The following is a 12,479-nucleotide window of genomic DNA, read 5'->3' as shown; positions in this document are numbered from 1 at the left end:
CCTTGATGTGAGATGGCATCCTAATTTCCTTTACTTAGAGGGGTGGTGTCTGGGGATGAGATCACCTGGGGTGTAATCATACGTCTTTGACTGGGAGTGGGGCTGAAAAGGAGTTCCCATGTTCCTGGTCATGTGACGTGTGATCATGTGATGTGGAGATCTCCTGTGACATGGAGCTGGAGGAGGGAATAGGAACTAGCTCTGGCTCAGAGGGCACAGACTTCCACTGTTTTATCAACATTTAGGAGATTTTCTTGAATAAATGCTTATTAATTTGCATCTGCCCTTAGGTCAATTTCCAGAGACTTTAAGTGTGTTTTATAATTTTTACCAGTTAAACGGTTGTTTCACTGCGGGGAAAAGAGTATCCCAAGCTCCTCTCCTCTGGAAATCTGATCAAATTCTTTTTCAAGTCCTTCAGTAATGGTTAATTATATATGTGTATATCATATTTACATTTATATTTATTGATATAACAGTTATGCTTGGTGTTTCATGCGTATATGATAGCATCTTATGTGTTCATAAATTTTAAAAGTTGTTTTCTATGTGATCTGATTTATTTGCTTGAGAAAAACTTTTTTCTGGTAGCTTCGTCTGGGAACTTGCTCAGTGGTAATTTTTTAAATGACAGCTTTATGCAGTATTTTTATGATCTCTTCATTTACCCAGGAGTGATTACTTCTCTATTTTCCGCTGTGTTAAAACTAGGTGTTTTCTCTTTCTACTCCCTTCCAGGCCTCTCACTACTAGAATTCGGTCAATGAGAGTATCCGTGGCATGTTATTTAGTATTTGTTATTTTGCTATTACATACGCTTCTATTTCTAACATTTGATTTACTGCTTTGAATGATCCACTTTGAGTCCTGGCTGTTACAGCTGAGTTGACCAAGTCCTCCTCCTCAGACCCCCACCTGTGTGTGTGCACATCGTGTCTCTCAGCTCTGGAGCTGCAGATGATGTCAGGGTCTCAGCAAACAAGACCCCTCAAAGTTGAAAACTGTACAAACATCGTATGCAGCAGCCTTGATCTACCCTATGTCTTCCATTCTTTCCTCCTTCTTCTTCCACTTTTTGTTAGTTTCGATATTGGTTTATTTCCAGGGCATATGGCATTTATATGCATTTTATTACCCTGGTTCTCATGTTTATTTTAGTTTTAGTCAACACAATTCACAATTATAATATTTCACCATAGTTTTTCCTTAGTTATCTCTTTGTTGGCTAAAGTTTGTTCTCTGGGACTTTTCCCAAGTAGGAAAATATTCCCTGAGTTTGTGTGTATTTAAAACTGCCTGAAGTATACTTTGAAATGTAGCCTGACTAGGTATAAAACCTTTGGTTTTCATTCCACTTTTTGAATATCTTGTAAGTAATGGGCCACTGTATCTTGGCATTAAATTTTGCTAGGAAAAAATATGAGACTAGCCTGTTACATTCTCTTTTTTAAGAGCGGCTTGATTAAAGGATCTTTTCCTTAATGTTTCTTTAAAACTTTGTAGGGTGTTCTTAGTGTTTCCTTTTCTGTGGAACCTAATTTTATTCTGGAAAAGTTTTGTTGAATCAGTTCTTAAAGGGATTCATGCTCTTTCAATGCTGTCTTTTTTTTTTTCTTTCCATACCTTCCTTTTTTGATATATTTTAGATTGTCTCTGCTTATCTTCTATAGCCACTGTTTTCCCTCTAATAATTTTTAGATTTTCCCTTTAATTTTACTGTATTTACTTTTACTTTTTTATTTATATTTTCTATGTTCCTTACTGAGTTTTCTAAAGTCTGTTTTAATTTCTCTACTTCTTCTAGGTTCACCTTCGTTTCTATGAAGATCTTGGTTTTTCTTCATGTTTGCTGGTTTTTGTCAGCACATTTTTTTTATTCTAACGTTTCACCGCTTCTTTCTCTGAGTTCTTATATTTCTGCTTCATGGTCTTCCATTTTTGATCTGACAGCTCCATTAAGTTTTCATTTCATGGCAAAATATTTGGGTAACATTTTCATCTTGCTTTTGGCATTGATTTTTGTTGTGTGATCTTTCTCCATTGATAAGTTTGCATTTTTCCCCATAGTTTTTTCTTATAGTGTCTTTACATAAATCAATAATTATTAATTACTGAATTAATTGAAATGTTTTGAACCAATAATTTGTGAAAAGTTTCTATGAAGAAGAAAGGAGGAGGCAAAGTTGTCTTGCAAACTTAGCAACCCAACAATCTTCTCCTTCACCACCATAGAGTTAGATGGCTTCTGCAGATATGGCTAAATCTTCTCCTTCACCACCATAGAATTAGATGGCTTCTGCAGATACAGCTAAGTCTTCTCCTTCACCACCGTAGAATTAGGAGGCTTCTGCAGATACGGCTAAATCTTCTCCTTCACCACCATAGAATTAGATGGCTTCTGCAGATACGGCTAAATCTTCTCCTTCACCACCGTAGAATTAGATGGCTTCTGCAGATACAGCTAAGTCTCTTTCACCACCATAGAATTAGGTGGCTTCTGCAGATATGGCTAAGTCTTCTCCTTCACCACCATAGAATTAGGTGGCTTCTGCAGATATGGCTAAGTCTTCTCCTTCACCACCATAGAATTAGGAGGCTTCTGCAGATATGGCTAAATCTTCTCCTTCACCACCGTAGAATTTGGAGGCTTCTGCAGATATGGCTAAATCTTCTCCTTCACCACCATAGAATTAGATGGCTTCTGCAGATACGGCTAAATCTTCTCCTTCACTACCGTAGAATTAGATGGCTTCTGCAGATACAGCTAAGTCTCTTTCACCACCATAGAATTAGGTGGCTTCTGCAGATATGGCTAAGTCTTCTCCTTCACCACCATAGAATTAGGTGGCTTCTGCAGATATGGCTAAGTCTTCTCCTTCACCACCATAGAATTAGGAGGCTTCTGCAGATATGGCTAAATCTTCTCCTTCACCACCGTAGAATTTGGAGGCTTCTGCAGATACGGCTAAATCTTCTCCTTCACCACCATAGAATTAGGTGGCTTCTGCAGATATGGCTAAGTCTTCTCCTTCACCATCATAGGATTTGGTGGCTTCTGCAGATACGGCTAAGAGCTTAACAACCCAACAGTCTTCTCCTTCACTGCCATAGAATTCAGTGGCTTCTGCAGATACACCTAAGTCATCGGCTCTTTGTAGAGCATCACCTTCTCTGAGTGAAACTGGGTCCAGAAAGTCTTCGATGACCTCGGTCCATAGAGGTTCTGAATCCATTATTACAAACAAAGAATACAACTTTTATATTTCAGAGTCCCTGGCCTTCAGCCCTTTCTGAAATCAGCCACCACTGTGCCTTTAAGCCATCACTGTGCTTTTCTTCCTTTGGTCTTCCATGGCTTGCTTGATTTCAGCTGTTTAGAGTCTCTATATGTACTTTTGAGTCTATGGTCCATTTCTATTTACTCCTAGTTCAACTTAAAATGAAATTGTATTTTAAAATATATTCTTGCTGTTTTTAGTATTATTTTCAGGAAGAGTAGTGAGCAATGCTGTTTATTCAACTCTGGTCATACCATGTCCCCTGATTGTATTCTATTCATGCATCTCTAATAGAGCTCCTAGACTTTTCCAAGGCTTATATTGAAGTGACTTAATACATGTTTGTCAATGTTTCCTACATTTTCTACTCTTCATATGTCTCATATATGATGCTTCAGTAGGAGTCCCCAGTGTTTGGGGGACTCCTACTCTTTTGGAGTAGCCAAACTCTGAATGTATAATATTTATTTTCCCCTGCTTCCATCAGTGGTAGTAGACACCCTGGAGGGTCTAATTGCAAGCATAACCACCCAACAGTTCTCTCCTTTAGTTTAGAGCCCTGTAGTCAGTGTTGGCTAGTAAGTTGTCGTGGAGCACCCAGAGTGGACACTTCAACAGGGTCTGGTAGTCAGTGCTGGCCAGTAGGTTGTCGTGGGGCACCCAGAGTGGACACTTTGACGTGGTCTGGGAGCAGAGCATTATGTCCACTCTTGAATGATAGCTGGGACACGTTGGACGATGGAACCAACAGAATCACAGGCTTCATGGATGACCTGGGATTTTCCTGCATTCAGTCGGTAAAAAGTGTGAAGAGTATTAAGTCCCTCTGAGATTGAGAGGGAACATAATTTTAAGAACAACTGGCATCAGATCGTTTATTCATTTTACTTGACAAGAATTTACAAACATCTTTAATATGTGCCACAACCATGGACTAATATAAAATAGAATACAAATGCACAAAAGAGAACAGAAAAGTGGAAAATGCCAAGTAACACACAGAGTAAAATTACTGGCCGGGCACAGTGGCTCATGCCTGTAATCGCAGCCCTTTGGGAGGCCGAGGCAGGTGGATCAGCAGGTCAGGAGTTCGAGACCAGTCTGACCAACATGGTGAAACCCTGTCTCTACTAAAAATACAAAAAAATTAGCCGAGCATGGTGGCGGGCGCCTATAATCCCAGCTACTCAGGAGGCTGAGGCAGGAGAATCACTTGAACCTGGGAGGCAGAGGTTGCAGTGAGCCGACATTGCACCACTGTACTCCAGCCTGGGCAACAGAGAGAGACTCCATCTCAAAAAAAAAAAAAAAAAAAAAGTACTTGAGAGGATATGAAAAACTGTTCCCCAGAGGTGGCATAATTTGGAAGTCATAGTGTATGTTGGTGTCAAGGAAATAAGTGAGTTCTTTTTTTTAAAGAAAGATGTTTTGTTTTGTTTTGTTTTGTTTTAAAGAGAACAAGGTTCATTAACAATATGCAAAACAGATGAAATGCAGTCAATAACGCTATGAAAAATCACTTTCTCTACAGAATGCGAAAGCATCAATAACATTTTAGCCTTTATTTTGCTGTTTAGTAGAGAATTATCACTATAGTGTTTTCACTAGTTATCAGCATCTTAAGGGAAGTACTTATGTGTGTTGTACCTTTTGAAAACTGGAATCATAGAATGCTTTAAATTATTGTATTAAAAATTGAAGTGATGATAACTATTCAGCTGGAATGTCAGGAAAATGTTGAAAATGACCAAGAGTTTACCAGGAAAAGGCTGCAAGGTAGCATCTGGTCATACCTTTAAATGACAGACAAACACAGACACATACACACAAAAGCAACATTTAAGTAGAGGAAACTTGTTAGTGCTCATGTGTTTAGAGTAAGTACAATGAGTCGGATTAGTGCTTTCCATTGTGATGACCTCATTTGTGCTTGGAGCCACTTGGGAGGATTCTGTCAGCTTCATCCCGGCACCGACTAGCACTGCACAGCGTAGAAGGCACAAGGACTGAAAAGGTCATGTCTTTCTGCTCGGAAAGCTTGAATGGTTATAGAGTGTAGAGGGCCCATGCAAAACGCTCATTATCTGCTGTGTCTCTTGTTTTCAAAATTCTTTATCAGGTTACTGGCAATAAAATGCTGTTCCCTTTGGTTACCAGACAATGAGGCATTTATACCAGCAAGTCACCTGAGAACACAGCAGCCAACATTAATGAGTTGAAAGTACCACTGGGACAGTGAAGAATTGACAAGACTGCTGGCCTGCTGATCTTGTTTATCTTGCCTTTTTTTTTCTTTTTCAAGGTTTATTTGTGGAAAGTCTGTTTTCGTTGCTTATGTGCTCATCTGTGCTGCTTTAAAATGCCTTCGTGGTGGCAGAGAGTAATCAGCATATAGAGTCTGGAAACCAACTTTTAAATTTTATTAATGAGCTGAGTTTAGTTCCCCTTTATCTTTTAACTGACTCCAGGAGCATTAATGAAAAGTATATAAATATGAATACAGGTGTAGTAATAAAAAAGAATTATCAGTCACCCTTAATTTAATTGGTGTCACCTTAGCCTTTAGAAGGGTAATAGGATAGTATTGCCACCTGCAATCATTCAAGACTATTTTACTCACTACAGTAATTAGCTCACTTTAAAAAATTAGGTGACCTTTCAAAAGTGAGTAAAATAGAATCCGGTGAGAACCGTTAAGACACGTTTGTGAATATAGCATTGGTAGAATATCATAGATATTTAGGGTTTCGAGCGACCTGTGGTCATTTTGTGCAACTTCTGTTTATGAAAGAATCTCTTGAAACACTCTTTTCGTGCACGGAGTTACTAGGCATCTAGCAACTGGAGGTTATATCAATGTGTCAGATACTCCACAGTCTCTCTTCCAATATTACGTGCAAAATACCCTGTAGACTAGGAAGCATGTTTGATCTTCTTGGTTATAGGTGCAATTTATTCAACCAGCTTTCGTCTATGTGCATTGAATTCCATTATGACTACTTTTGGCATGGAGACAAACACAAAACATGGCCTCTGAAGAGAGTGTATGCTGGGATTTGGGATAAGGCATATAAAGAATAACTTTACTAAAAAGCTGAATATTACATCATATGAGTTAAACACTCTTGCCAAGAATTATCAGTAACCATAACAGCTGATGAAAGTGGATGTAACTGCAAATCAAACTAGTGGGCATCTCTTGTTTCTTAGCAAAATTTTCCACATTAAAGAAACGCTTAAAACGATATTTTTACTTGTAAGATACACAAGAGACATATTTGATTTAGGAGACATTCAGAGCAGTTTTCTGCCTTTGTTGCATATGTACATCAAAGTGCTTTAGTGATAGTTGCAATTTTGGTAGTTATCTGCCACGTTAGAAATGAATCCAAACTAGCATATTTTGACCTTTCAATTTAATTGCCACAAAGCAAAATTCACTAGTATTCAGTGCCTCCCATCAAGCGGAAATCCAAAGCACGTTTTCCCATTAAGGAGACTCCTTTTCTCACAGATAGCAAATTTCCTAATGAGGAGAGAGCTGATTGAAGGACCATGATGATGAGCCAATGATAGGTGTTATTGACCTTTCTTGAAAGAGCTTGACTTCTGAACATTTTTTGAACTTATACTTGAGATACAGTAGATTTGATATCACACATTATAATGGATGGTTTTCTGATAGGACCTGACCATTTACTAGCCTACATCCTTCTAGTTTTCTACATAAACTCTCTACTGCAGCAACTAATGATAATTATTATTATGGTTGCTAACATTTGCTGATCTTATTGTTTTCTAGGCACTGTGCTGAGAACTTCATATCCATTTATTTCATTTTATCTTGAGAGGTGACAGCGTGCTGGCAGCCCTCGCAGCCCTGGCTCGCTCTCTGTGCCTCCTCAGCCTTGGCGCCCACTCTGGCCATGCTTGAGGAGCCCTTCAGCCCGCCACTGCACTGTGGGAGCTTCTTTCTGGGCTGGCCAAGGCTGGAGCCGGCTCCCTCAGCTTGCAGGGAGGTGTGGAGGGACAGACACAGGCGGGAACCGGGGCTGTTCACGGTGCTTGAGGGCCAGCACGAGTTCCCGGTGGGCGTGGGCTCGGCGAGCCCCGCACTCAGAGCCACCAGCCTGCCCACAAGCCCCGGGCAGTGGGCTTAGCACCTGGGCCACCAGCTGCTGTGCTCGACTTCTTGCTGGGCCTTAGCTGCCTCCGGCAGGGCAGGGCTTGGGACCTGCAGCCCACCATGCCTGAGCCTGCCTCCCCCGCCGCACCCCCACATGGGCTCCTGTGCAGCCCGAGCCTCCCCGACAAGGGGCGCTCCCTGCTCCAGGGCTGTGCCTAGTCCCATCGACCGCCCAAGGGCTGAGGAGTGCGGGCTCATAGTGCGGAAGTGGCGGGCAGCTCCACCTGCGGCCCTGGTGCAGGATCCACTGGGTGAAGCCAGCTGTGCTCCTGAGTCTGGTGGGGACTTGGAGAATCTTTATGTCTAGCTAAGTGATTGTAAATACACCAATCAGCACTCTGTATCTAGCTCAAGGTTTGTAAACACACCAATCAGCACCCTGCGTCTAGCTCAGGGTTTGTGAATGCACCAATCAGCACTCTGTATCTAGTTAATCTGGTGAGGACTTGGAGAACCTTTATGTCTAGCTAAGGGATTGTGAATGCAACAATTGACACGCTGTATCTAGCTCAAGGTTTGTAAATGCACCAATCAGCACTCTGTCTAGCTCAGGGTTTGTAAATACACCAATCGACACTCTATCTAGCTAATCTAGTGGGGATGTGGAGAACTTTTGTGTCTAGCTCAGGGATTGTAAACGAACCAATCAGCACCCTGTCAAAACTGACCAATCAGCTCTTTGTGAAACAGACCAATCGGCTCTCTGTAAAATGGACCAATCAGCAGGATGTGGGTGGGGCCAGATAAGAGAATAAAAGCAGGCTACCCGAGCCAGAAGCTTCAATCTGCTGGGGTCCCCTTCCACACTGTGGAAGCTTTGTTCTTTTGCTCTTTGCAATAAAGCTTGCTACTGCTCACTCTTTGGGTCCACACTACCTTTATGAGCTGTAACACTCACCGTGAAGGTCTGCAGCTTCACTCCTGAAGCCAGCGATACCAGGAGCCCACCAGGAGGAACGAACAACTCTAGACACACTGCCCCAAGAGCTGTAACACTCACCGCGAAGGTCTGCAGCTTCACTCCTGAGCCAGCAAGACCACAAACCCACCAGAAGGAAGAAACTCCCAACACATCTGAACATCAGAAGGAACAGACTCCAGACACGCCGCCTTTAAGAACTGTAACACTCACCTTGAGGGTCTGTAGCTTCATTCTTGAAGTCAGTGAGACCAAGAACCCACCAATTCTGGACACAATCTTATACCACAGAACTGTAAGTTCTATTCTTCTTCCAGTTTTACAAAACAGAAACAGACAAACAAACAGAGGTAATTCTCTGAAAGATGTCTCTCTCAGTCCATTTCTGCTGCAATGTACCTTAGACTAGGTAATTTATAAAACAACAGAAATGTATTGCTAGTAGTTCTGGAGGCCAGAGGTCCAAGCTCAAGGCAGCAGTAGAATCGGTGCCTGCTGAGGGCCCATGCATCATGGATGGATTCTTCTGTATGTCCTCATATGGCAGCAGTAGACTCGGTGCCTGCTGAGAGCCAATTCATGGATGGAGTCTTCTGTATGTCCTCATATGGCGGCAGTAGAATTGGTGCCTGCTGAGGGCCCATGCATCATGGATGGAGTCTTCTGTATGTCCTCATATGGCAGCAGTGGACTCGGTGCCTGCTGAGGGCCCATTCATCATAGATGGAGTTTTCTCTATGTCCTCATATGGCAGAAGAAACAAGCAAGCTCTCTCAGACATTTTTATAAGGGTACTAAACCCATTCATGAAGGGTCCACCCTTATGACCTGGTCACCTCCTAGAGACCCCACCTCTTAATGTTATTGCATTGGGAATTAGGTTTCAATGTATGAATTTTGGAGGAATGCAAACATTCAGATCAGATCTGTTTGACCTCACAGCCAAAACTGGCAGTGGAATTTGCATGTTGCTCCTGGAACATATCTAGTAATTTTCCGTCTCTATACATTTGCTATGCTGTTTCCTCTATACTGAATGATCCATACTATCCGTTTAACTTTGTATCTTTAAAGGCTTGTGTGTGTGCCCATCTATTTTGGTGAGGTTGTTACCAAAACACCATGGGTTTGGTCTAAGTCCTGCTGCTCACTGCACAGAAAGCCAATCACTGAGATGGTGAGTGTTTCCAGGGAAGAAGCTTTCATCTGGTGCTGCAGCTGAGGAGATGGGAGCTCAGCCTCAAATCCATCGCCCTGACTGACTAAAAATGGGGTTTTATACAACAGGCAAGAAATGTAACAATGTGTAGGAAACACGAACTAGGGAGGAACAAGGAGGTCTCATCTGGTGAGTTTCAGTTCTTTAATGCTTTTTTTTTTTTTTTTGGAGAGGCCTGAAGGTCCTTTCCTGAGGAAAGAACTCAGATGAAACAAATACAAGTTTCAAGCTTTAAGAGCGGAAGAGTCAATGTCTATGTTTATACAAAAGAACACGCTGTGGGAGTATTGGGCCTGCTTCAAGGTCAGTAGGATTATTCCAGAATTACACACATCGTTTATAAGCCCCTGAGTCTAACCAGTGTTTTGAGTTTTTCACTTATCTTATGTGTAGCCAGCACGCATGTAACATGAAAACATCAATTACATGTGTGTGCTTTTGCCTCTTGTTAATTTTTGTTGCTGTTGTTTTTTCAATTTAATTCACAGGCTCCAGCACAACATGTAAGATGGGATAGGAAAAGCTTTTTTCCTACCCAACAGAATGCTGAAAATGTAAATATTTTTTCTTTGGTTTACAGTAATAAGGAGTGTGATTCCTTTTTTTTTTCTACCTCTTCTACTTCTACGTTTTAAGAGCTCTGTAGCTTAGTGAGCTCCCAGGCTTATGAACACCGTGACACAACTAGTCTTGAAATGTTGCCAGCATTGTAGGATTTGCATACTTAACATGCTTATACTGCCATAAAGTATGTAAGGTGGAAAGGATATTGTCTTTTAGTGTGGGTACATAGAGCATGGCACGACTTGTTGCCAGCCTCACATCACATCTGTCTTCTGCTTTTATACTTTATATCCAGGGTCATGCAGTCAATTTTAGACATTTTAAAAAATCTTATTTCTATATTACTAAATTATTCATGGAGCCCGACTCTTCTAAGTTACTCTGGGAAAATGCCTTAGGCCTTCCAAGGACACAAAATTTTCATTCTTATAAAAAGCATTTGGCTAGGAATCAGAAGACCTACATTTTCATTCAAGAACTGGTACTAGTTTGTGTTGTGATTTTAGGCAGATCCATTATTGTCTCTAAGCCACAATGTCCTGAACTCCAAAACCATAGCATTGGCCTAGATGGTTTCTTAGGCCTCTCTTTGTGTCAGGAATTGGTGAGTTCTTGGTCTCACTGACTCCAAGAATGAAGCCACGGACCCTCGCAGTGAGCGTTACAGTTCTTAAAGGCGGTGTGTCCGGAGTTTGCTCCTTCCTCTTGTCTGGAGTTGCTCATTCCTCCTGGTGGGTTCGTGGTCTGGCTGGCTCAGGAATGAAGCTGTAGACCTTCGCGATGAGTGTTAGAGCTCATAAAGGCAATGTGGACCCAAAGAGTGAGCAGAAACAAGATTTATTGCAAAGAGCAAAACAACAAAGCTTCCACAGTGCAGAAGGGGACCCTAGCAGGTTACCACTGCTGGCTCAGGCAGCCTACTTTTATTCCCTTATCTGGCCCCACCTACACCTTGCTGATTGGTCCATTTTACAGAGAGCTGATTTGTCTATTTTACAGAGAGCTGATTGGTCCATTTTGACAGGGTGCTGATTGGTGCATTTGCAATCCCTGAGCTAGACACAAAAGTTCTCCAAGTCCCCACTAGGTTAGCTAGACACAAAGCACTGATTGGTGCATTTACAAACCTTGAGCTAGACACAGGTTGCTGATTGGTACATCCACAATCCCTTAGGGAGACACAAAGATTCTCCAAGTCCCCACTAGACGCAGGAGAGGGTTTAGAAAGTGCAAAGGCCTTATACCTGGGAAAAAGGAAAGACAAAGGGGTGGAAGGAAAAGCAGTGGCTGAAGCACAGTGGCTCATGAAAGACGAGACTGGATAGAATAGGAGCAGGTCCTCGGGCCTGGAGGATATCTTCAGACATTTGTGCCTTATCCAAAGAGAAATGGCAAGACACGGACGATGTGAAAGCCAGGGGCTGTCCTCCAGACCATGAGACCTCAGCCAGCTGCCGCCCAGAGCCAAGTTGCTGCTTTGTGTGCAGCTCTCTCCAAGTGTGGAAGAGCAGATGGGGTGTTTTTACTTCCGCCCCAAAACTTACACATTTCACTAAAATATTCCTACTCCATGCTTAGCAATGAGAAACCTTCTCTATGCCATTCTTATCCTTTTGAAATGATACCAGATGCCAAGAAACACCACAGGAGTAGGGCAAAGAAGTTGAGCTTCAAGGGCAGATGTAGTCTAAGTGTCAGCTGTACCACAAATTGTGACAATAAGCACATCACCAGGCTTCTTATTTTACTCCCTCTTCCGTGCAATGAGGCAGCTTGACTCTGGGGCTGGAAATAGTTCTCTCCTCAAGGTGGAGGCAAACGGAGTATCGGACAAATTGATAATCCACACAATCCAAATTGTAATTAGTATAGTCTTTCTCTGGTTATTGAGACAAGTTTTTCACGTGAGCTTAGCTTCTGCTTAGCATTTTAACTGTGGGAGAGGGAAAAGTCCTTGAAAGTCCTGTGACTCATTGGTAAAATAAGAACGTACTAATGAAATATGAGAAACATCGAAATAAATTAAAAGACATTAAAAATCTATTGTGTATCCTGCACTCCAAAGTCATTTTTAAATGGTAATTACACCTTTGAAGAGCATCTAATTAGTATGAAAAGAACTTTGGATGAATGTGGAGCTCTTCATCTGACTTCAGTTGATACACAGTGATAATATTCAAGACCAATTTCTGCAGCTTTTATCGCCTGACTGAGCATTGCTCTGTTTCTGAAGTTTAAAGGGATTTTCTAATCTTTTGCTTATCAGAGGCTGAGCAAAGACCTGTCATGGTTTATGGAGGTAAAAGAGAGGAG

At 41.8% G+C, this 12,479-nt stretch overlaps 1 annotated feature.

Moving 5' to 3' along the window:
- Positions 7,840 to 9,039: an enhancer, noted in NCBI's record as "BRD4-independent group 4 enhancer chr4:190615457-190616656 (GRCh37/hg19 assembly coordinates)". NCBI's record gives its function as "activates an origin of replication core promoter dependent on BRD2, P300/CBP, MED14 and CDK7 cofactors, and independent of BRD4, by STARR-seq in HCT116 cells {active_cell/tissue: HCT116}" and the evidence as "EXISTENCE:reporter gene assay evidence [ECO:0000049][PMID:35650434]".

This window comes from Homo sapiens, chromosome 4, assembly GCF_000001405.40.
Source record: "Homo sapiens chromosome 4, GRCh38.p14 Primary Assembly".
NCBI classification, from domain to species: domain Eukaryota; kingdom Metazoa; phylum Chordata; class Mammalia; order Primates; family Hominidae; genus Homo; species Homo sapiens.
This window is presented reverse-complemented; position numbering and strand designations above follow the sequence as displayed.